This window comes from Homo sapiens, chromosome 17, assembly GCF_000001405.40.
Source record: "Homo sapiens chromosome 17, GRCh38.p14 Primary Assembly".
Taxonomy (NCBI): domain Eukaryota; kingdom Metazoa; phylum Chordata; class Mammalia; order Primates; family Hominidae; genus Homo; species Homo sapiens.
In genome coordinates, this window is record NC_000017.11 from 73,010,202 (window position 1) to 73,036,730 (window position 26,529).

General features: G+C 46.2%; 1 protein-coding gene across 35 annotated transcripts in view; it reads right to left on the reverse strand.

Annotated features, from left to right (window-relative positions):
* Positions 1 to 26,529, reverse strand: part of SLC39A11 (solute carrier family 39 member 11) — a 446,740-nt gene that overhangs the window by 364,253 nt on the left and 55,958 nt on the right. For all 35 annotated transcript variants that reach the window (XM_017024335.2, NM_139177.4, XM_006721757.3 and 32 more), the window contains one exon: positions 21,355 to 21,513. In XM_017024335.2, the coding sequence (XP_016879824.1) occupies positions 21,355 to 21,513 (159 nt within the window). The remainder of the gene's footprint in view (positions 1 to 21,354; positions 21,514 to 26,529) is intronic.

The window sequence follows — 26,529 nt, forward strand, 5'->3', positions numbered from 1 at the left end:
GTCCCGGCACCTGCATTTTGTTAGGTGATTCTGGTGTGGTCTGAAGTTTGCAATCAATACAACCAGACCCTTTCTCCCTTTTCATCTTCGGACTGTTACTTAATCAACTGCAGGACAATTCTTCTTTCCCTCTTTTCTTAGTCTTTTGCAATAGGAGAAGACTTGGGCTTCAAAAAGAAACAGGAAGATACTTGAATTATGGAGAATGAAACATAACCCAGTAACTAAACAAAAGCGAGTTATAGGTAGCCTTCAATCAATGGTCACTGACCTTGGCTGAACGTCAGAGTCCTTACGGGAACTTTTTTAAAAGTACCTAGGCCGTACCATGGACACCATCAGTCAGAACCTCCAGAGGGAGGTCTAGATGTTAATATTTTTTCTAAAGCAACACAGGCAACTTCCCTGCTCTCCACCTCACCCTTTACTCAAAGGTCGCTCGAAAAATGCTTGTAGTAAATGGCAGTATGAGTCTCTAGCTTCTTAGGCAAACATAATTATGAAAGTAAATAAGGCATGAAAAATCAAATGACACAGGCAAATTTCAGATTAAGCTTTTCTTTTTGTCTCCTGCGTGTTTAATTATCTGTGCTTCATGTTTGTAGGGCCAAAAAAGCGGTCAATTGCAACGGGCATGGATCTGCTCCCCAAAAATAACTCACATGTGTAAAGCACTTTCAACTTCGATGCCGTAAGGAAGCGTTTTCCTAACAATGATCTCCTCTGATCTTCACAACCTCTCCAATTATTCTTTCATTGATTCATTCATCAAATACCTCCTGAGAACCTACTCTGTGCCGGGCACTGTGCTAGTGTACAGGACACTGCAGAGACATGACCCATCTGTGCCCTTGCCCCCACCTTCAGGCCCCCGGTACACAGGCACACAGGTGATGACAGCCCAGGGAAGGGAAGGGCCAGGACGAGGAAAGTACAAAATGAAACCAAGATATGGGGCAAGTCTGGAGAGCCTTGTGGGGAAGAAATGCACAAGATGCACCCCAAAGGGTAAGGAAGAGAGTCTGGCAAAACACCGCAGAGGCGGTGCCCCAGGCAGAGCTGGCGCAAAGGCAGGGGGGACAGGAAGGAAACCGGAAGGATGGCAAGAGATAAGCAGGGAGGGACCAGGCTGCAGACGGCAGTTAGGGCCAGATCAGAAGGACTCTGGGAAGCACTCTATGAAAACAGAACTGCAAATGGAAGGTAGAGGAGCCCTTGAAGGGGTTTCAGCCAGAAACACAATCAGACTCACAACCTGCGTGGGATACTCTGGGGGCCTGTGGAAAATGATCTGGAGCGGGGAGACGAAGGTACCCTGAACAGAGAGGTCACCAGGGCACATAGACAAAAGATCATTCGTACAAAAAAAGTAGAAAGAATGAATAAGTCCTGCTATACGACAGCATAACAGGGTGACTATAGTCAAAATAATTTAATTGTACCTCTGGTTTTCTGGTTTTCTTGGTTTTTTTTTTTTTGGATGGAGTTTCACTCTTGTTGCCCAGGCTGGAGTGCAGCGGCGCGATCTTGGCTCACTGCAACCTTCGCCTCCTAGGTTCAAGCAATTCTCCTGCCTCAGCTTCTCAAGTAGCTGGAACTACGGGCACCCACCACCATGCCCGGCTAGTTTTTGTATTTTGGGTAGAGATGGGGTTTCACCATGTTGGCCAGGCTGGTCTCGAACTCCTGACCTCAGGTGATCCACACGCCTCGGCCTCCCAAAGTGTTGGGATTACAGGTGTGAGCCACTGCCCCTGGCCCTAGTTGTACATTTTTAAATGACTGAAAGATGGCCAGGTGCGGTGGTTCACTCCTATAATCCCAGCTCTTTGGGAGGCCGAGGCGTGTAGATCACCCGAGGTCAGGAGTTTGAGACCAGCCTGGCCAACATGGTGAAAACCCATCTCTACCAAAAAATAGAAAAACTAGCCGGGCGTGGTGGCAGGCGCCTGTAGTCCCAGCTACTGGGGAGTTTGAGGCAGAAGAATTGCTTGAACCCGGGAAGCAGACGTTGCAGTGAGCCAAGATCATGCCACTGCACTCCATCCTGTGACAGAGCAAGACTCTGTCTCAAAAATAAAATAAAATAACTAAAAGAATATAATTGGATTATTTGTAACATAGAGGATAAACGCTTGAGGGAATACCCCATTTTCCATGATGTGATCGTTATACGTGACTATATCAAAACATTTAATGTGCCCCATATACACCTACTACGCAGCCACAAAAATTTAAAAAACTTTTTAAACAAAGGATCGACTGAATAAGTATTTAAATCAGGGATCAGCAAACTGTTTCTGCAAAGGGTCAGATAGTATTTCCCAGTTTTTTTTTTTCTTTTTTAACTTTTATCTTAGAATCAGGGGGTACGTGTGCGGGTTTGTTACAAAGGTATATTGTGTGATGCTAAGGTTAGGAGTAGGACTGAACCTGTCACCCAGGTAGTCAGCACAGTACCCAGTAGGTAGTTTTGCTGCCCTTGCCCCCTGTTCTCTCCCCTCTCTAGTAGTCCCCAGTGACTACTGTTCCCATCCTTATGACCATGTGTACCCAATGTTTATTTTATTTTATTTATTTATTTATTTAGAGCCACATATTTATTTATTTATTTAGAGACACAGTCTCACTCTGTCACCCAGGCTGGAGGGCAGTGGCACAATCTTGGCTCACTGCAATCTCCACCTCCCAGGTTCAAGCGATTCTCCTGTCTCAGCCTCTGGAGTAGCTGAGACTACAAGTGCGAGCCACCAGGCCTGACTAATTTTTATATTTTTAGTAGAGATGGGATTTTACCATGTTGGCCAGGCTGGTCTCGAACTCCTGACCTCAGGTGATCCACCTGCCTCGGCCTCCCAAAATGCTGGGATTACAGGCGTGAACCACTGTGCCTGGCCCTTATTTTATTTTTTTGAGACAGTCTTGCTGTCATCCAGGCTGGAGTGCAGTGCACAATCTCGGCTCACTGCAATTTCCACCTCCTGGGTTCAAGGAACCTGCCTCAGCCTCCCGAGTAGCTGGGACTACAGGCGTGCACCATCACACCTAGCTAATTTTTGTATCTTTAATAGAGATGAGGTTTCACCATATTGGTCAGGCTGGTCTCGAACTCCTGACCTCCGGCGATCCACCCACCTCAGCCTCCCAAAGTGTGAGGATTACAGGCGTGAGCCTCCGCACTTGGCCCTGGTGTTTAGCTTCCACTTATAAGTAAGAACATGTGATACTTGGTTTTCTATTTCTGTGTTCAATCACAACCATCACAGCTACTCATTTCTGCTGCTGTGTTGCAAAAGCAGCTGCAGGGGATTCCACAGTTCATAAATGAACAGGTGCAGCTGACTTGGCCCTCAGGCTGTACTTTGCCAGCCCTCCCTCTAAAGCAAGCTTGTTCAACCCACGGCCCACGGGCAGCAGGTGGCCCAGGACGGCTTTGAATGTAACACAATAAAAATTCATAAACTTTCTTAAAACATTATGAGGTTTTGTGATTTTTTTTTTTTAGCTCATCAGCTATCGTTAGTATTTGTTCCTGTATTTTATGTGTGGCCCAGGGAAGCCAAAAGATTGGACACACTTGCTGTAAAGGATCACATCCACATGGTTTCAGGACCAATGAGGGGATAATGAAAGGAGACAGCAGGGCATCAGAGGAGATGAGGAGGAAAGTAGGCATTGTCACCAATGACTCCTAAATCAGGAATCTGAGACGCAGAGGCCCAGCGATTTGATGGAGGGCAGTCACACCCAAGCCTCAGTGCAAATTCTCTTAGCAGTGCCCCCTGCTGTGCCTTGGCAATCGTAAATAAATCAGATGTGAACGCACCACACACCCTCACATATCTGAGTTGCTTACTTTGGCCACCCCAGCCTTCAACTAGTTCCCTTAACCCATCCTCTGCAGAGCCCACTCCCTCTCATATAAACACAGAATGCACCTAAATCAACTTCATGTCTCCTGGGGCCTCAGCCTCCTGCAGAGCCAGAGTCTCACACTACCCCGTCCTGAAGTCCTTTCAGTTTATAATGAGATGATCAGTTAACCTCGACCCAGCATGTCTGGGGAGGAATATGTTGCTGGGAACATTCAGTTCTCACTCCCTATCCCGGTGCAATTAACCCATCAGATCTGTCCTGTTAGAAATCAATCAGCTGAGTAACTATCAAAAACTAGATACGGGCACAGTGCCTCATGCCTGTAATCCAGCACTTTGAGAGGCCCAGGTGGAAGAACTGCTTGAGTCCAGGAGCTCAAGACCAACCTGGGCAACGTAGCAAGACCCTGTCTCTACAAAAACTGAAAAAGAATTAGTCGGTCATGTTAACATGAGCTGTATCCCAGCTATTCAGGAGACTGAGGCAAGAGGATCGCGTGAGCCTGGAAGTTCAAGGCTGCAATGAACTGTGATCGTGCCACTGCACTCCAACTTGGGTGACAGAGCGAAACCCTTTCACAAAAAACCATGCGGATGGGCACATACAAGCAAACTGGGGCCCACGTTGCTTCACCAAGTCCCAGAGGGCCAGCTTTTGAGGCCCTTGTTCTCTTCGCTCCCAGCGTCATCTGACCCTCTGGCTGCACGTTTCTCTTGCCTCTGGACTGGACATAAGCCCCTGGCCGGCCTGCAGCAATTTCCTATCTCATGTATTCGTGCGTGACATCTTCCTCTCCTGTTCAGAGCTCTCCCAATGCTGTTTCTGTAACTCCAGCCTCCATCCCGCCCCTGAGCCACTGGTTCATACTCCCAACTTCCTAGAGCCATCTCAACTCAGGTACCTCACTGTCAACCTAAACTCAACACATGCACAGTCTATCAGTCAGTGCTTGTTGAATTCATGTTTCTCCAATTAACTGTATTCCCTTCCACGCCCATCTATCCCTCCCAAATACTGAGTTTCCATCCTACTCTGGTATGGCCTCACAGCCACTGAAGTCTGAAACCTCGGTATTGCCCTGTACTGTTTTTTCTTCCTCCATATAAGCACTCATCTGATCTTCTGCACGGTTCCTTCTTCTAAATGTCTCTCAAACATGCCTTCCTTTCCATTTTCATCATCTCGGGCCCTCCCTGCCTTTGGGAATACTGCATTCATGTCATAGTTAGTCCCTGGGCCTTTGGTTTCTCACTCTTCCAAATTATTCTATTATCTGGTGCCAGATTAATCTACAAAAACACCACTGGATAACGTCACGACCTATGCAAAAATCCCAAACTTCTCTCTGATCCCAAGCTCAAGGGATAACACCTCACATTAGCATATACAGTTTATAATTTGGAGTATTTCAATGTACCCTGTATGCCATCCGATTCTCCCCAATAACTCGTCCTTAACAAACTGCCACGTGGAACAGCACTTCTACAACAGGGAGGCGATTATTTTTATTTTTATTATTTCTTTGAGACAGGGTCTTGCTCTGTCGCCCAGGCTGGAGTGCAGTGGCGCGATCTTGGCTCACTGCAACCCCCACCTCCAGGTTCAAGCAATTCTCGTGCCTTGGCCTCCCAAGTAGCTGGGATTACAGATGCGCACCACCACGCCCAGCTAATTTTTGTATTTTGACTAGAGATGAGGTTTCCCCATATTGGCCAGGCTGGCTGGAACTCCTGACCTCAGGTGATCTGCCCGCTTCGGCCTTTTAAAGTGCTGGGATTACAGGTGTGAGCCACCGTGCCCAGCCAAGAAGGAGATTAGAGCAAAATGAAAAGAATGAGGAATGGCGGTGCTTTCTCATCTTAGACTATGACATCATTAACTAAGGTCAACGAGTCCAAAGAGGAGAATATAGCCATCTTGGACAGCTGGGCTCTGTCCAGCTCTAACACCAAGATGCTTTCAGACCCTGGGAAGGTTGTAACTTCTTCAGGTCTCAGTTTTACTATCTGTATCATGGGTTAATAGTCACTATTCTGCCTATATGCTTTTCTGAAGGGAAAATACAGTACTAGATATGACAATATGTCCAGTTTTAGAATGAACACTGTTGTAAAAAGCCACTATATCATGTTTCTTAAAGGGAGGTCCATGGATTACCTACATCAGAATCTCCTAGACACCTGATAAAAGTAAAGATTCCTGGGTTCCACTCCAGTTCTCCTAAATGAGACTCTCAGGGTGAAGAAGTATCAGAAAGTTGATTTTTTTTTTTTTTTGACAAAGTCTCGCTCTGTTGCCCACACTAGAGTGCAGTGGCATGATCTCAGCTCACTGCAACCTCCCCCTCCCAAGTTCAAGTGATTCTCCTGCCTCAGCCTCCCGAGTAGCTGGGATTACAGGCATGTACCACCACACTCTGCTAAGTTTTGTATTTTTAGTACAGACAGGGTTTCATCATGTTAGCCAGACTGGTCTCGAACTCCTGACCTCAGGTGATCCACCTGCCTCAGCCTCCCAAAGTGCTGGTATTACAGGCGTGAGCCACCACACCTCACTCCAATGCACACAAAACCTCCCAAAGAGCACCTAATTGCATTGTTACAAAGAAGTGATTTGCTAAATGTAAGCAGTCCCCCTGAAGTGGAGAAGAGTTAAGGCAGCTGTGGCAATATTTCAGAACCAATGAACCAAAGCTAAATCTAGTCACCTTCCCATGAGGGTCAGCCTTCAGTTGGTTCCCTGAATCAGCCAGTGTCCTGGCTCTCTGTGTGTAGGGTTTTCATCCAATTATGCTTATTCCTGCCATCTGAAGCAACACTCCATTTATTATGATCAAGAGACTCTAGCTCTCCACTTAAGCGCCTGTTAATTAAAAGAAATGCCTGTGGCCAGAATGCAGCAAAAATTCTAGAAGCAGGTATCAGTCAACTTCTGCAAGGAGAGGTATAGAAACTTTTGCCAGAAACACACATAGCTTCTTCTTAAAATGACCTTACAAGTTAAATCACCTTCATTTAGAAGGCAAAGTGGATTGGAGGGCAGAGAGAAACGAGGGGGAAAAATGAGGCCAAAAACACCTGCAAAGAATCTGGAGCAAATGTTTCCAATTAATTCCACTGTGACTTCCTATTTTAGAATAAGTAAAATACTATGAAGTTAAGTAAAATATATAAAGCAACTATTTTCAGGGACTAGACAATAATAGACTATGCAGGGCTGTGATCCTAGCCAGACGGAAAACATGCAAAGGGTGCACCACGTTCACCTGAACACTGGGGGCAGGTAGGGACTTTCCAAACTGCAGCATAAAGAAATGCAGCAGTATACAGAAAAAGATTGAAATTCAGGATGCTGGCCAGGAGTGGTGGCTCACATCTGGAATCTCAGCACTTTGGGAGGCTGACGCAGGTGGATCACCTGAGGTTAGGAGTTCGAGACCAGCCTGAGCATCATGGTGAAACCCCCATCTCTACTAAAAATACAAATTTAGCTGGGCGTGGTGGCACGTGCCTGTAATCCCAGCTACTTGGGAGGCTGAGGAAGGAGAATCACTTGAACCTGGGAGGCGGAGGTTGCGGTGAGCTAAGATCACGCCACTGCACTCCAGCCTGGGCAATATAGACTTCGTCTCAAAAATAAAATAAATAAAAACAAAATAATAAAAAATAAAATTCAGGACTGCTGACACAGCTGTAATTTGCAGAGTAGGATACCACAGAGGAGGATCATCACACAAACAAGAAATCTCAGAAATATGCAAAGGGATATCCATGAGTTGCTGACTAAATACTAAGCTATGCATGTGCAAAGTAAAATGCTATGAGGCCTGGAAAAGAGAATTCTTTCTAAGGGACTGTGAGATGAACGGAGATTCCAGAGGTCATATGGTACTAGAAGATAAAATTCCAACTAGTCTTAGCAAGGAAATCTCACTGTACACCCCAGTCATTCAGTTGAGACCCTAAAGATCCTCTTTAAGGGCAGAGCTATTCTAGGCCTCGAGTAAAAGCTACTCTATACCCATCCTAGCAAAGCTGAAAACCAAGACTTTACAGGATCAAGTTGAACCACCAGTAAATTATCTGCCTGTCAGAATAAAATCCATCACTCTTTAAGATGACTAAATCTAGTCTCTTAACAATAGACCACTGACAATGTCCAATATACAATAAAAAATTACTAGACATTCAGCCAGGTGCAGTGGCTCATGGTTGTAATCCAGGCACTTTGCGAGGCCAAGGTGGGAAGATTACCTGAGGTCAGGAGTTCAAGACCAGCCTGGCCAACATGGAAAAACCCTATCTCTACTAAACTACAAAAATTATCCACACGTGATGGCAGGCTCCTGTAATCTCAGCTACTCAGAAAGCTGAGGCAGGAGAATCACTTGAACCTAGGCAGCAGAGGTTGAAGTGAGCCAAGATCACACCATTGCACTCCAGCCTGGGAAACACGGCAAGACTCCATAACAAAAAAAAACAATAAAGTAAAAATAAAATAAATCAATCTATAGACCCAAGAAGCACAATTAACCACAAAAATAGGGCTATTGCAGTCCTCAGATAAAGGGTATCCATCCCAACAAAGCCTAAAACCAAGACTTGGGAGTATCAAGCATATTAACTGCCTGCCATGACAACACTCAAACTTCTTTAAGAAAAGACAACAAAATAGAGATCCTCAACAACACAGGAATTACCCTGTCCAGCATACAATAAAAAATTACTAGACATGAGAAGAAACAAGAAAATGTTACTAATCACTGGGAGAAAAAAAAAAATCAAGAAAGATAAACATAAAGAAAACCACACAAAGGCATAACAGAGTCAAAATGCTAAAAACTAATGATAAAGTCTTAGGAGCAGCCATAGAAAAAGTCACATTACATATAGGAGAACAATGCTGACTTCTCATCAGAAACAACATAAGCCAGAGGACCTTAGAATCTCATCTTCAACGTCCTAAAAGCAAAAAAACTGTTAACCTAGAATTCTATATCCAGTGAAAACATTCTTCAAATAATGAAGGCAAAATAAAAATGTATTCAGATAAATAAAAGCTAAGAGAATTTGTCACTAGCAGGCCTAAGCTATAATGAATATTAAAAGTAGTTCTCCAGATGGAAGAAAAATAATATTAGATAAAAATATGGGTCTACTGAGGACTGTCACTGAAAAGCAGTGAAAATGAAAGTACATGGAAAAGTCAAGGCTGAGAAAATATGAAGACTTTTTCTCACTTTAAAGTTTCTTTTAAAGACAACCGATTGTTAAAGCAAATATAGCAATGTACTAAAGATTTATGACATGTGAAGAAATAAAATGTATGACAAAAATAGTATGAACCAAAGAGGGATAAATAGATGTATAGTGCTATTAAGGCTCTTATATCATACATGAAGTGTTAATTCGAGGTAGACTATGATAAGACAATTACAAGGTAGACTATGATGGACCATTACAATGTTAATTCAAGGTAGACCATGATAAGTTAAGGAAACTGTAATCCCTACAGCAACCTGCAAACATAACACAAAGAGATACATTTTTAAATCCAGTAAAGAAACTAAAATGGAATACTAAAAACTATTTTATTAACCCAAAAGAAGGCAGGAAAGCAGGTACCAAAGAGCAAAATAAAATAGATGGGATAAATAGAAAATAAATAGTAAGATGGTAGTCACGGACCCAATCACATCAGTAATTATATTAAATATAAATTGACTGAACATTCCAATTAAGAGACGGAGATCCTTGGACTAGATGAAAAAGTAAAACACAATGTTATGTTGTTTATTAAATATAAAGACTCAGGTAAAGGTACAGAAATGGAAGAAGATATACCAAGGAAACACTAACAAAATGAAACTGGGGTAGAAGTAACTATATTAATATCAGGACAAAGTAGACTTCAGGACAAAAAGTATTATAACTTAATTTCATTGAGAATAAAACTGAAGAATCACACTCCTTCTCCTTCTATCTAGAAAAGTGTCCATTTCGAGTTATGTTTGGAAAATTTTCACCATATTCAGAGCCCTTTATGTACTGAAGATGACGGGACAGAATGTCCTCGCATTCTTTATATCAGGTGTTACAAACAGAATATTTGTGTCCCCTCGAAAAAAATTCATTTGTTGGAGCACTAGCCCCAGTGGGATGGGAAGCTTTTGGAGGTAATTAGGGTTACATGAAGTCATGAGGATGGGACCCTCATAATAGGATTAGTGTCCTTGTAAGAAGAGACATCAGAGAGCTCGCCCTCTCTCATTCTCTCTACCATGTGAGAACACAAGAAGGTGGCCATCTGCAAGACAGAAAGAGAGCCCTCACCAGGAACTGAATCTGCCAGCACCTTGATATTTTTCTGTTCTTTAAGCCAGACTTCAGTATTTTTTTATGGCAGCCCAAGCCAATTTAGATAGCAGGAACCCACTTAGCTGATGTCTGCCTTGACTTTTACATGGAGCAGTATTTCTAAAGGAAACCAAGTGAAATCTGAAAAGAACTTCTGCTTCAGCTTATACTGTTCATGACCTCCCCAGGGGACCATGTGAGAGAGAACAATGCTTTTGGGTTTTTGGGGGGTCTTTTTGTTTCTTTCTTTTTTTTTTTTTTTTTTTTTGAGACGGAGTCTCACTCTATCACCCAGGCTGGAGTCAGTGGTGCAATCTTGGCTTACTGCAACCTCCGCCTCCTGGGTTCAAGCAATTCTCCTGCCCCAGCCTCCCGAGTAGCTGGGGCTACAGGCGCGTGCCACCACACCCGGCTAATTTTTGTACTTTTAGTAGAGACAGGGTTTTACCATATTGGCCAGTCTGGTCTCGAACTCCTGACCTTGTGATCTACCTGCCTTGGCTTCCCAAAGTGCTGAGATTACAGGCATGAGCCACCACGCCCAGCCCGGAGAGAACAATGCTTTGGCTTTCCAGTGCTTTTCACAGAACTCCCTCCCTCCCATGAATTGGCCAAACTACATCTCTACCCCCAAACTTCACTTCTCATTTCTTCCCTGACACCAGCCAGAACTGTTTATCTAACTCTCCAACTTTGGTTCCTGAGCCTGGGGACCTGCATCAACACTACCAGCACCACGATCAATCCCAGAGGAGATGGACCACGCAGGCATGACCAGGACCTGCTCTATGGAGCACCCAGCTAGGGGTACGGTTATAAGCAAGACAGACACGGTCCCAGTCACCTTTGCCAAGAAGAAGGGATCCAGTGAAGATTAGATGCATACTCAGTTCCCTTACTCTTTCTTTCTTTCTTTTTTTTTTTAAGACATAGTCTTGCTCTGTCACCCAGGCTGGAGTGTAGTGGTGCAATCTCGGCTCACTACAACCTCTGCCTCCTGGGTTCAAGCAATTCTTGTGCCTCAGCCCTACTCAAGTAGCTGGGATTACAAGCAGGCACCACCATGCCCGGCTAACTTTTGTATTTTTAGTACAGACGGGGTTTCACCATGTTGGCCAGGCTGGTCATGAATTCCTGCCCAGCTCTGCCTCCCAAAGTGCTGGGATTACCAACGTGAGCCACCGCTCCCAGCCTCTTTCCCCTTCCATACTCATAATCATCTTTGCCACCCTCGGCTATCGACTGGTTCAATATGCTTCCACGGTGGCTTCTGGGCATTTTTCATAAACATGTGGCTGAGCTCAAGAGACAGCAAGAGAGGACAGGTATCCAGTTACAACTTTATGGCCTAACAAATGAAAAGGTGTTCTACCCACGGAGAAGGAAATCTAAGTCCTAGAAGGTTCCAACCAAGCCTATCTGCACTCAAGACTCCCCACCACTCTTAGACCAAGAACAAGAACCATTCCGTGCTTAAGGAGTTCCCCTCAGCAAGCCAGCCCACGCAGTGCGTGTGTGTGTGCGCGCGTGTTCGTGCCAGACCCACGGGGTCCTCCGGGAATATATATCGACAACAGAGGTGGGTTTCTGAACCCTGGTCAAAAGCCAGAGAGCAGACACGCTTGAAATGCTCTGTGCCACTGACTGCAAAGCCACAGATATTTTTCCTGCAGCCTCAATGAGCAAGGACTGTGTACACAGCTAACACACATGGGCATACAAATGCATAGAACAGTATTCACCAGCTGCCCTAGAAAACCAAGAGAGCATATGGCAAGAAAGAGAGAGTTCATGGCATGCATTCCCATCACCTAAATGCGCACTTGCAGGCATCCACAGAATGGTCAAAACTGCTGTCTTCTCTAAGAATCAGCCAGCAGGCCGAGTGCAGTGGCTCATGCCAGTAATCCCAGCACTTTGAGGGGCCAAGGCGGGCAAATCACCTGAGGTCAGGAGTTCGAGACCAGCCTGGCCAACATGGCGAAACCTGGTCTCTACTAAAAATACAAAAACTAGCTGGGCATGGTGGTGCACACCTATAATACCAGCTACCCAGGAGGCTGAGGCAGGAGAATCGCTTGAACCTGGGAGGCGAAGGATGCAGTGAGCCAAGATCCCGCCATTGCACTCCAGCCTGGGAGACAAGAGCAAAACTCCATCTTAAAAAAAAAAAAAAAAAAAAAAAAAGAATCGGCCAGCCCACCATACTAGGAAATTGCCTTCATCCCCTTTTCAGCCTGTCTGCATGCCAGCAGGACCCAAAACAACATCTGAACATCTTCCTAAAAGTCACGGGAGGCTGTGGAATGCCTCCAAAGGTGGAAGAAACAATGCTAACCATGGCTTCCAGTTGCCCCTGGGAATACATTTGGTACCCAGGACAGCCTGAATGCCAGCTCTCTCCAAACTTCACACTATGAAGGGCCTGTGGCTTCAGTGTGTCAAGAGCAACCCCACCCTGTGAATTAAAATATCCTGTTTCACAAAGAAAAAAAAAAACTCAGTTTTCCTTTGCCAGTGAACCCTTCTGAACAATAAGCTTTCTCAACCCTCCCCAAGCCCAGAATTATCAGGCACCGCTTCCATTACTGCAAGCTCACAGGTTTCCTCCCTTAGAAACTGAAGTATTAATTAGTACTGTGTATTTGTATTCCTTAGCCTGCCATGCCCCTCAGGGCATAGCCAGCCAGCCCACTGTTCCAGTGTCAGGGAAGCGACCACTGGTTCAGAACGCCCAGTGCCCAACTAACAGCTGAGCTCCTGCCACTCTACCATCTTTCAATCACAGTGCCTAAAAAAAAAAAAAGATGTTACCCTGGGCTGAATTGTGCCCCCCAAAATCCATGTATCAAAGCTCTAACCCCCTATACTTTATAATGTGACTGTATTTAGAGATAGGGCCAGTAGAAAATCAACGTTTTAAACTGAAGATGGGCCAGGTGCCATGGTTAATGCCTGTAATCCCAACACTGTGGGATTCCAAGGTAGGAGGACTGCTTGAGCCCAAGAGTTGAAAAGGTGTCCAATCAAAATGGTGCTGGTTTTTTTTGTTGTTGTTTGTTTGTTTTGTGTTTTTGAGGCAGTGTCTCACTCTTGCCCAGGCTGGAGTGCAGTGGTGTGATCTCGGCTCACTGCAACCTCTGTCTCCTGGGTTCAAGTGATTCTCCTGCCTCAGCCTCCCAAGTAGCTGGGACTACAGGTGTGTGCCACCACGCCTGGCTAATTTTTTGTATTTTTAGTAGATATGGGGTTTCACTGTGTTAGCCAGGCTGGTCTCGATCTCCTGACTGCGTGATCCGCCCACCTTGGCCTCCCAAAGTGTTGGGATTACAGGTGTGAGCCACCACACCCGGTCCCAAAATGGTGCTGTTTGGGTGGGCCTTGGTCCAATGTGGCTGGTGTCTTCATGGAAAGAGGAAAGCTGGGCACGTAAAGAAACACCAGGGATGTGAGCACAGAGGCAAGACTGTGTGAGGACACACAGGAAAGGCAGCCATCTGCAAGCCAAGTGGAGAGGCCTCAAAAGAAACCAACCCTGCCGGCACCTTAGCCTTGGACTTCCAGCCTCCAGAGCTGTGAGAAAATAAATTTCTATTGTTTAAGCCAACCCTGTATGTAGTATTTTGCTATGGCAGCCCCAGCGAAATAATACAGATGTGTAGACAGTGAAGTAAAAGGTCCGACTGCAGAACTGCCACCTTCTTTGGCCTGGGGCTGCCCAATCCACCCAACATGCCACCCTCTTCAGATGGCACAACTGTGTCCCCACACTGGAAGGATCTGCTATTGCCCCAGAGGCTTTCTACAGCCAGGCAGAAATTTCAACAATAGCTCAACCCCAGGATGCAGCATATAGCTTGAAGTAGAATTGCCCATCTGGAGCCTCAACAGAGTATAAGAAAGCACAATCCTAAAAATGGGGCAAAGGGCTACTGTTCAATGTCCCCACGAAACGAGTCGGGCTTACTTGACGATATCAGGCTTATTGTAGAGACTCTCAGGTGGCTGCTGCTGAAGTTTGTCCTTTTTGTTTTCTGTGAGATACTCTTTTCATTTCTCCTTTTTAATTCCCTAAGATATTCTTTCGTGAACTAGAATCAGAATGCTAAAGATGAAGGAAATCTACGAAGGAGAAATAAATACATGCAAACACACCTCTGGGAGGAAAACTGCCTCTTGGAACATCTGTCACTTCTAAGACAGTTGTCATATTTGTTCTCTCAATAGCAGCTCCAGCCAGCCAAATATTGATACCAGTAAAAGTTGTGTACATTTTTTTTTTTAGACAAAGTCTTGCTATGCCACCCAGGCTGGAGTGCAGCAGCGTGATCCCGGCTCACTGAAGCCTCCGCCTCTTAGGTTCAAGGGATTCTGCTGCCTTAGCCTCCTGAGTACCTGGGATTACAGACACGCAACACCATGCCCAGCTAATTTTTTTTTTTTTTTTTTTTTTTGTATTTTTGGTAGAGACAGGGTTTCACCATGTTGGCCAGGCTGGTCTTGAACTCCTGACCTCAACTGATCCACCCACCTCGGCCTCCCAAAATGCTGAGATTATAGGCATGAGCTACCGCGCCTGGCCAAAACTGGGTACATATTCAAAGTACACACGCACACTGTTCATTTAAGCTTCACTAGAGGCATCTTCTTTGCCATCACAATGAGAACTAAAATAAACTGAACATGGTTGAGGACTCAGATAAATTAAGGCAGGAGCTGAGAAGAGGGTGATCCCTGCTTGCCAGCCTCCCCCACCCTCCTGGAGCCCGTCTGGGCAGGACTGTTGGCCAAGTCCACGTGGAGGAGACAGCCTCAGGGTCACAGGCACCTGTTACCTACTTGGGCAGCCTCCTCAAGATACTGAATACCAAGAGAGGGAGAGGAGGGGGAGGGGAGCACACATCTCCCAGGAAAAAGTCTGCCAAGATGCAAACCAAGCTGCGAAAAGCAAGCAGCAACAACACAGACAGTATGTTGCCATTTGTTTTTCAGAAAACATGAAACAAAATTCCATCTCCAGATGTACATGCAAACATATGTAAAAGCACAGAGCAGTCTAACTACTCAACCACGGAGAGATGGCTGAGCAAATGAACTGGATGACAGAATGTTACGTAGGTATTAAAATATCATCAATAAAAATCATTTCAAATTTAAAAATAACACAAAGAGAATGCACAGACTGATTCCAACTGTGTAAAAATGTATGCTTGCACATATGCAAGAAAAGAAGATCGAAATAGAGTCAGAAGAAAAGAAGATCGAAATGGAGTCAGGGTTCCTACTGCTATAAAGTCGATTTAAAGTATACTCAAACAATACAAGCAAATTGGAAAAGTGTTTATATTTCAATAATTAAAAAACACAGTATCATTGGTTTTCTTTAAAAAAGGAAAAGGGGCTGGGCGTGGTGGCTCACGCCTGTAATTCCAGCACTTTGGGAGGCTGAGGCAGGCATCCGCCTGCCTGAGGTCAGGAGTTTGAGACCAGCCTGGCCAACATGCTGAAACTCCGTCTCCACTAAAAACACAAAAATTAGCCAGGTGCGGTGGCAGGTGCCTGTAATCCCAGCTACTCAAGAGGCTGAGGCGGGAGAACAACTTGAACCCGGGAGGCGGAGGTCGCAATGAGCCAAGATTGAGCAACTGCACTCCAGCCTGGGCCACAGAGGAAGATCCACCTCGGAAGAGAGAGAAGAGAAGAGAAGAGAAAAGAGAGAGCAGAGGAGAGAAGAGAGGAGAGGAGAAAGAGAAGAGAGAAGAGAAGGGAAGAGAAGAGAAGAGAAGAGAAGAGAAGAGAAAAGGGAAAAGCCGGCTGTGGTGGCTCACACTTGTAACACCAGCACTGTGGGAAGCTGAGGTGAGTAGATTACCTGAGGTCAGGAGTTCGAGACCAGCCATGGTGAAACCCCATCTCTACTAAAAGTACAAAATTAGCCAGGCATGGTGGCGCATGCCTGTAATCCCAGATAGTTGGGAGACTGAGGCAGGAGAATCGCCTGAACCCGGGAGGGAGGCAGAGGTTGCAGTGAGCCAGGATCGCACCATTGTACTCCAGCCTGGGCAACAAGAGCGAAACTACATCAAAAAAAAAAAAAAAAAGAAAGAAAGAAAGAAAAGAGAAGACAAAAGAAAAGAAGAGAAACACTAGAATGATACCCGCTAAACTGGTAACAATGTTTGACTGGTTGGTCTGGGGGAAAAGATAAAAGTAGGAGAAGGGTTTTCACATAAAATTTTTATAAACTGTTTTATAACGAGATTTTTGTACTGTATTGATGCGACGCTAACATGACTAAAAATAAAGAATTGACCTTGGGGACACACACACACTACCCTCCTCCCCACCCTACCCATCAACCCACCAGGAGAAAAATCACTGTTTTAAACTGAAGGCGGGCCAGGTGTGGTAGCTCACACCTATAATCCCAACACTGAAGAGGGGGAGGCCAAAGTAGGAGGATTGCTTGAGCTCAGGAGTTCAAGACTAGCCCGGGCAACATAGGGAGACTCCTGTCTCTACCAAAAAAAAATTAAAAATTAGCCGGGCATGGTAGCACACGCCTGTGGTTCCAGCTATTCAGGAGGCTGAGGTGGGAGGATCACTGGATCCCAGGAGGTCAAGGCTACAGTAAGCCGCGATCATGCCACTGCACTCCAGCCTGGGCAACAGAGCAAGACCCTGTCTCAAATAATAACAATAATAAACTGAAGATGACAGTTTCCCACATACTGCTATACCTTAACTTCACATAGAAGCACAACTGCAAAATCAGAAACATGTCAATGTCTCCAAACAGCTGTTCAGTGTCCTGTCTGTTTCTGCCTAGAACCATCCTAAGGGGAGCATGGGCTCCAGCTGGCCTCGAAAGCATTTCCCATCATCCGACCCCTCACCAGCCTCCTCCCAGGCCCAGTAGGCTGCACCTTCCTTGTCCACCCCCTTTTTTTCTCCCCTTTCATTAAGACGCCATTTGGCAAAGTCTCTGCAAATCCCTGTCAGTTCACTTCCCATTAACAGTTACCGCAGAGCTTCTCTACTTTATTCCCAGATAAATAATTGAAAACAAACACCCAGTTTGGAGAGGAACTTGAGGCATCTGAAGTTAACAAAGCCACAACGGCTTCATCCTGACAGGCTCTTCTGAGTAATGCCCTTTCCATGAGCAATATTTTGCTTTGCCTCCAACAGAGGGACAGATAAATCTGAAAGGCTGAAGGAACAGAAATGGAGTTAAAGAACACAGTCATGTGTTAACCATTCTCTTCCCACCAACCCAAGAGTGTGATGCCCTTCACGTCCCGAACACATATAACCAGGGTGGGTGGCTCTGACGCTCCCAGGCATTGGGGCCTGTGCCTGAATGGTCACGGGCAAGGGTCAAATCAGGGCACTGCTGCAGAATCCTTCAAGCCATATCGCTGCCTTTTCCAGACTTCCGCATCTCCTTATTTCTCCAGGTGAAATAACACAGACACTGACCCACTTCCTTTCACCCCAACAAACTCCAAGCAGACGTGTCCCCAGGGGATAGAAAGGAGACCCTGAGGTTTTCTGCAGACAGGCCCCCTACATCCTGGGGCCCGTCCCAAAGGGTGAGAGCCCCTTGGTCGGAACCGCAGCCAAAGGCTTTTCCTCTGCCTTCATTCTGCTCCTGGGGCCATCCGCTGAATTGTGGGACTCCATCATCAGGGGAATGAATCAGGAACTGAAATGATCTGGGGCTGAATTTACCCACAAAACTTCCCACAGCCTCAAAAGCCACTGGTTCATAGATCCCAAGAAGGGCAAACATCCTGAACACAAATTCTAGCCCTGCTCCTACCCTGTTAGACTATAAACGCGTGGGTGCTCAGTCGATGTTGGCCAACCGCAACGACTCAAGATCAAAACCCATTAACTCCGACCCCACAGAGCATCTTCGATAGATCCAAGCTGCTGCCCTTTTCAGGTCTGGTGAGCAAATTAATAGTGAAACCAAAGGAAACCTTTGGCCAGCCTCAGAGTGAAGGTCAACAGACTGTTTCCAAGCACAACTCTTTCAACAACATTTGTATTCACTGACTGTAGCAATCATAAGTAATTCTCATCCATGTATGAGACCTTCTAAGACAAATTCCCCCTCTCACATCGACAGCAAGAATTCATTTCTTTTTAAATCTCCTAGAACAGATGTTTACTGTCAGGCTGACCTTTCTGCCAAGTAGTGAGGTTCTGGGCATTTGTGGTGATGATGTCTGTTTCTGAGCTGCTGCAATCCCTCCCCAGACATTCACCAGCTGCTCCCAAACCATTACTGATTCTATCCAGGGCTTCCCTCTGGGATCTCCTCCATATTCAAAGCATATATTAGAACAAATATGAACCAAAAGGTTTAAAAAAAAAAAAAAAAACACTGCTGCAGCCGGGCACGGTGGCTCATGTCTATAATCCCAGCACTTTGGGAGGCTAAGGTGGGAGGATCACTTGAGGTCAGGAGTTCAAGACCAGCCTGGCCAACATGGTGAAACCCCATCTCAACTAAAAATACAAAAATTAGCCAGGCATGGCAGCAGGTGCCTGTAATCCCAGCTACTCAGGAGGCTGAGGCAGGAGAATCACTTGAACCCAGGAGGTGGAGGTTGCGGTGAGCCAAGATCACGCCATTGCACTCCAGCCTGGGTGACAGAGTGAGACGCCGTCACACACACACAAAAAAAAATTACTGCTGCATAGTGCAAATTAGCCAATGACTGTTTACACCGCCCAGAGAAAATCCCTACATTCAGACAGCTGACCAAATACATCTGATACCGCCCCACCACCCCTACTCCCCAGTAACATAGTAAGACCCACAAGGATTGCAGAGTCCTTTCCAAGAGACTATCTTGGAAGCCCAGTTGGGTGCAGGAGAGAAGAGTAGAATGGGATCCAGCAGGAGCCATGCAGAGCCACTGAGCCAGATCTCTGCCTGCTGCTCAGGGATTGAAGCCACTGGTCACCTGTCAGGGCAAGCAGAATACACTCCAACAACAAGTTCACACAAAACCAGGGTGGCCTTGAGATCAGAATATGGCAGCCTGCATTGAGGGCCACTGGACGCCACTACCACACATAGTCGGCAGCAAGGAAGCCACATGTCCAGGGGACGGAGACAGACACGGCCACTCAATCTTTTTTTTTTTTTGAGACAGGGTCTTGCTCTGTTACCTAGGCAGGAGTGCAGTGGCACCATCTCGGCTCACTGCAACCTCCACCTCCCAGGTTCAAGCGATTCTCATGCCTCAGCCTCCTGAGTAGCTGGGATTACAGGTGCGCACCACCACACCCAGCTAATTTTTGTATTTTTAGTAAAGATGGGGTTTCTCCACGTTACCCAGGCTGGTCTCTAACTCCTGGCCTCAAGTGATCTGCCCGCCTCAGACTCCCAAAGTGTTGGAATTACAGGCATGAACCACTGTGCCCAGCCATGTCACTCAATCTTTTAACAACAAAAAATGACACATGGTCTTTAAGACAGTGGTCCCCAACCTTTTTGGCACCAAGGACTGGTTTTGTGGAAGACAGTTTTTCCATGGACAGGGGCCGGGGTAGGGGGTTGGGGATGAAACTGTTCCACCTCAGATCATCAGGCATTAGTTAGATTCTCTTAAGGAGCACGCAGCCTGGATCCCTCACATGCGCAGCTCGCAGCAGGGTTTGTGCTCCATTGAGAATCTAATGCCACGGCTGATCTGACAGGAGGCGGAGCTCAGAAGATAAAGCTCACTTGGCAGCTGGCTGCCCACCTCCTGCTATGTGGCCCAGCTCCTAACAAGCCATTGACCAGTAGCGGTCCTTGGTCTGGGGGGTTGGGGACCTCTGCTTTAAGACAGTATCACAGCCGTCCAACATCACATTCAGCTGTCTGATCCAAAGGACAGTTCTTCTGTAACACAAGGAATCTGTTTTACATTAGCCCAGGACCTAGAGGCATAGTTCCTGGGAATCGTTATAGTTACAGAATCACCCATCATTCCTTCTCTTTCTCCACTTGGGAAGTTAAGGAAAAAAGAAAGCAGGAAGGCAGGGAAGAGAACTTCAACCTACCTACCTCCCGGGGTACATGACCACTGACTCCAGTGAGTCTGACTTAATCCTGTCTCACCGTGATCCAGCAGGAGAAATGGACTTTGACCCATTTCTCTCCAGAGAGTTCTCCCTGCACCACTTCCCTTTCTAGGGGAGCAGGGAACTCTGGCACCAGTTCAGGGGTGCTTCTGCCATCTCTAGAACTTGTCGGGCCCAGTGTCTGGTAAGGCTGTCTCATGCTGTTATGATCTTGGACCCCTTTCCTCTACTGACAGTGGTGCATGCAGATGACAGGGCTTTAGCCAATGGCTTGCGGTTCCCATCGCATGACCTGGCCCCAGCTCTCTTGGCTCGGTGATCACAGCCACATGCCAGGCTGCGGTTTGCACGGTGCTTCCCTGTAAGCACATACATGCTCATTCCCAAATCCAGCTCTCCTGCCATATGTCAGTAAAAAAGCCTGAAATCTCTGGCTTATCCCCAATTCCAGTGCATTTTTACATTTTTAAAATTTTACTGTACAGTCCTTCGGGGGAGTTATCCTCAAATTAAAGGATGGAAAACTAGAGCTCAGGGATATACAATCAGTAAATGGCAGGTGTGAGCTCCAGCCCAGACCCCTGCTGCACAGAGCCCTGCCTCACCCTCCTGTCAGCCCTCATAATGTGATCCATGGTCAAAGGCCTAATGCTACAGATTGTGGGGGTGGGGCGGGAGTATCATCTCCCTGATGATGTCATACTCTCAATAAAACCCAGCACCACAGTGATCGTTCTAGGTCCTCTCATATATATACAGTGCCACCCAGCACATCAGCTGTACTCTATATTTTTAATGAAATGTGACATTCAAAATCCGAACTTACTAAAATGTAAATAAGGGGGTAATTACCAAGACATTACTTTAAGAAAGAAATCACCGATCAGTTCCTCTAATGCCTTGTTCTCTGTTTAAATACCACTGGCTACTTAACAGAGACATTAACAGGTATGTCAGGTTTGATCAGAAATAAATTCATTGCACAGAGCTGGTTGTATCCCGATACGACAGCTAAAAGTAGAGTGGTACTCACCAAGTGAGGCATCAGGAGGTCAGCCAAGTAGACAAAAGCCGCTCCAAGGGTGAAGCCAACAGCCACAGGGAAGAAGGCAAAGGCACCGAAGCCCCCAGAGGACGTGGCCATCTCAACTGCTGGGGCCAGAAGAGACCAATAGGAAGCTGCCAACATGACCTACAAAAACCACAACGAGAGATAAACGTTAAAGCAACTGCAGAAGGCTTTCCAGGCAGGACCTCAGTTGCTCTCTGTGGCCCAGATTGACCCCTACAATTTCACATGAGTTCAGTCTTTCGTCCCAGGTTGGGAGGTACTATCAGAAACCAAAAAGCCATCCCCAGAATTCCCGGAGCTTACTATTGCAAGAACTCAATTTTGGGTAGGATAGAGTTGACCTTGGGAGGATGCAGTCCAGTTCGCCATCATCTAGCCTATAATTCAGTGGTTCTCAACCAGCAATGGTTTTGCCCTCCACAGGACATTTGGCAATGACTAGAGACATTTTTAGCTGTCACACTGGGAGGAGCGTAGGGGGAGGTTGCTACTGGCATCTAATGAGTGAGGCCAAGCATGCTGGTAAACAACCTACAATGCACAGCACACCCCTGACAACAAAGAATTATCTGGCCCCAAATGTCAATGAGAATGCTGTTGCGAATTCCTATTCTTTTTTTTTTTTTTTCTGAGATGGAGACTTTCTCTGTCACCCAGGCTGGAGTGCAGTGGCACAATCTTGGCTCACTGCAACCTCCACCTCCCGGGTTCAAGTGATTTTCCTGCCTCAGCCTCCTGAGTAGCTGGGATTATGGGTGTGTGCCACCACAGCCAGCTAATTTTTCTGTATTTTTTAGAGATGGGATTTTGCCATATTGGCCAGGCTGGTCTCAAACTCTTGAACTCAGGTGACCCACCCACCTCGGCCTCCCAAAGTGCTGGGATTAAAGGTGTGAGCCACCATGCCCAGCCCAAAAAATCCTATTTTAATTAAATTCTTCCAAGACAAATTGCTCACTACTTCACGAGTTCCACTGTATTGTAACACAGGTCTAATTATTACAAAGTTCTTTCTTATGTTGAGCTGAAATCTGTCTCCTTTCCACTTTTACCTTTTAGCTGTGGTTTTGCTCCCTAGAACACCAAAAACTGTGTCCCTCCTGTGTGATATGTGACAGCCTCTGAAATATCTGAAGATAACCAGCAAGTCAACGTCATATTGGTCTCATCAATTATCTCTAAAAAGGACGAAGGGAACTAATATTTATTGATCACTTGGTATTTCCAAGGGCCAAGATTTACATTTGATATCTTATCTTTTCATCACAACCACCCCAGAGGCAGATGATGTTTTCTATTGCGATTTGTAGATAAAGAAATTGGATCTTGAAATAATAAGGTAATTTGCTCATGGTCCTACAGGCCAGCGGTCCCCAATCCTTTGGGCACCAGGGGCCAGTTTCATGGAAGACCATCTTTCCACGGACCAGGCAGTGGTTTTGGGATGAAACAGTTCCACCTCAGATCATCGGGCATTAGAGTCTCATAAGGAGCTCACAACCTAGATCCGTGGCATGTACAGTTCACAATAGGGTTCACGTTCCTATGAGAATCTAATGTCGCCACTGGTCTGACAGGAGGCGGAGCTCCCGCGGTAATCCTCACTCACTTGTCCGCTGCTCACCTGCTGTGCGGCCTGGTTCCTAACAGGCCATGGATCAGCACTGGTCCATGGCCCGGGGATTGGGGACCTCTGCCATAGGCAGTAAGTAGCAGATCCAGGGAAATGACCAAGCAGGACCATAACCAACTCAATGACGGTAGAAACATGAAGGAGAAGAAAAAAAATTAGGCTAGTCTCAAATCTCAGCAAAGTCAATTCAATAAAAGGTTCTCCAGCAGATGAGCTGGCACAGTGGTGCATGACTATAGTTGCTGGAGATGAGCTGGCGCAGTGGTGCATGACTGTAGTCCTAGCTACTGGGGAGCCTTGAGCCCAGGAGTTCAAGGCCAGCCTGGGCAACATAGCGAGACTCTGCCTCTTAAAAATAAGAAGCTCTCCAGCACTGACCAAACTAAACACTCATCCATGGCTGTTTACTCTTACAGATGCTATGACATCTTTTGGCTAGAGTACACCCACCACCCATCGTAACTATACGGCAGTCATCGCCGACACAGAAAATGTTGAATGGGTTTCTAAAAATTACTTAATTATGCCTTGCCTTAAAAAATCATCTGCATCACCCATCTTCAAAATAACACTCAGAGTGACAGAAGCAGGTATTACAACAGCAACAATAAAGAACAAATCCAAGCATAAATCCATAAATTCCCTTCTTCCAGCTGTCAAACATGCACAGTCACTTGCTCTGGGCCAAATTCTCCCAGCAAAAGTCTTAGTGCCACCCATGGAAACCTGCAAAAGCCTCCAAAACTCTAAGAATGAAAATGCCTCTGCTCAACAGGATGGGAGCTGAGGCTGATCCGTTCAACTCCATGAGCCGGGCTGTCAATAAAGACCATCAAAGGAAATGTGAGGGCTCCCCCTCCCTGCTACAGCCTAATCCACCCCTTTTCCAGACTTTGTCTTACTAGCTTTAGAATTCAACAGCCCTCAGTAGCTGCCCTGCATGGTAAACTCCCCATCGAAGAGGACCTGCAACAAGACACAGAGATGGAAAGGTGCCCGTTCTTCTTTGCATTTTTTGAAACAGAGTCTCTGTCACCCAGGCTGGAGTGCAGTGGTGCAATCTCCGTTCACTGCAACCTCTGCCTCCCAGGTTCAAGCAATTCTCCTGCCTTAGCCTCCCAAGTAGCTGGGATTGCAGGTACTTGCCACCACACCTGGCTAATTTTGTATTTTTAGTAGAGACAGGGTTTTGCCGTGTTGGCCAGGCTGGTCTCGAACTTCTGACCTCAAGTGATCTGCCTACCTTGGCCTCCCAAAGTGCTGGGATTAAAGGCGTGAGCCACTGCTACTGGCCCAATTCTTCTTTTTAAACCTGACCTGTGCAGCAGCTTCTCTGGTTCTCCCATACGGTCCCACCTTCAACAACTCTAAAACCACATGGCCCAAGTAAGCCCACTCATCTCACCCTCTAAATCCTCCCCACCCTGCACTCCGATGAAAAAACATAACATCGCTGTCAGCATCACTTGAGAGACGTCCCCAACCTCTGCTCTCATCTCCTTTTCAACCCCAGGTCCAAACTCTTCTGTCCACATTTCCTTCCATCCCTCTGCATCACTGAGTACCAACCTTTTTTCTGCCCTTACACATGAGAAGCACACAATCCACAAGCTATTCAAGGAGCAGGAGCAGAAGAGAAGTGTCTCTCAAGGGAGGGTGTGTTGGAATTTGGGATGCTTGCAATGCAAACGCATCCCAGCTGATTCAGGTAAGCCCCCTTCTTGAGAATCACTGCCCTTTATCTTTCCAGTCAAATTTAGGATCCAGCTGGATTTCCTTCATTTCTTTTCCTTGTGAGCCTCCCTGCCTCACACACAAACTGGAAAACCACCAAAGAACAATCGGGAAATTGAATAGGGTTGCCTGTCTAAAATGAAAAAAGCACCCAAAGCAAAATTCTTTTTGTTTTTTGTTTTTGTTTTTGTTTTTGTTTCGAGACAGAGTCTCGTTCTGTCACCCAGGCTGGAGTACAGCAGCGTGACCTGCAACCTCCATCTCCGCCTCCCAGGTACAAGAGATTCTTGTGCCTCAGCTTCCCAAGGAGCTGGGATTACAGGCATGAGCCACCACGCCCAGCTAATTTTTGTATTTTTAGTACAGACAGGGTTTCACCATGTTGGCTAGGCTGGCCTCGAACTCCTGGCCTCAAGTGATTGCCCACCTCAGCCTCCCAAAGTGCTGGGATTACAGGTGTGAGCCACCGCACCCGGCCAAAAAGTTATTTAAAGGGCGAGTGGGGTAGAAAAGACGACTGTATCCTAATGCCTAAAACCTGTGAATATTTCACCTTACAAGTAAAAAGGACTCTGCACATGGGATTAAATTAAGGACCTGGAGATGGGGAGATGATACTGGCTTATTTGAGTGGGACCAATGTAACCACAGGGTCCTTACGAAGGAGTGAGAAGGGTCAGAGTCGTGAGGTCAGGAGTTTGAGACCAGCCTGACCAACATGGTGAAATCCTGTCTCTACTAAAAATACAAAAATTAGCCGGGCATCGTGGCAGGCACCTGTAATCCCAGCTACTCAGGAGGCTGAGACCAGAGAATCACTTGAACCCAGGAGGCGGAGGTTGCAGCGAGCCAAGATCGCACTACTGCACTCCAGCCTGGGTGACAGAGCGACACTCCATCTCAAAAAAAAAAAAAAAAAAAAAAAAGAAGGGTCAGAATCAGAGAGAAAATATGATAACAAAAGCAGAGGCTATAGTCAGAAAGAGATTGAAAGATGCCATGCTGCTGGCTTGAGGATGAAGAAAAGGCCATCTGCTAGGGAAGGGAGGTGGCCCCAAGATGCTGAGAAGGCAGGGAAGCAACTTCTCCTCCAAATCCTCCAAGAGGAACCCAGCCCTGCTGCCACCTTGACTTTGTCCCAGTTAAAATCACTGTGGACTTCAGACCTCCAGTACTGTAAGATAATAAATTTGCACTGTTTTAAGCCACTACATTCATGGTAGTTTGTTACAACAGCAATAGAAAATTAATACAGGCACATGTTACTTTTCTTAAACTTTATTTTTTAGAGCACTTTTAGATTGATAGCAAAATTGAGTGGAAAGTACCAAGAATTCTGACATAGGCCTACCTGTCCCCACATACCCAAAACTTTCCCCACTATCAACATCACACCACAGTGGTACAATTGATACAGCTGATGAACCCACACTGATATGGCATTAACACCGAAGGGCCATCGTTTTTTTGTTTTGTTTTTTGTTTTTTTTCTTTGCTTGTTTTGAGACAGGGTCTCACTCTGTCACCCAGGCTGGAGTGCAGTAGCGTAATCTCAGCTCACTGCAACCGCTGCCTCCCATGTTCAAGTAATTCTCTTGCCTCAGCCTCCTGAGCAGCTGGGATTACAGGTGCCCACCATGCCGCCCAGCTCATTTTTGTACTTTTAGTAGAGATGGGTTTTCACCATATTGGTCAGGCTGGTCTCGAACTCCCGACCTTAGGTGACCCACCTGCCTCGGCCTCCCAAAGTGCTAGGATTACAGGCATGA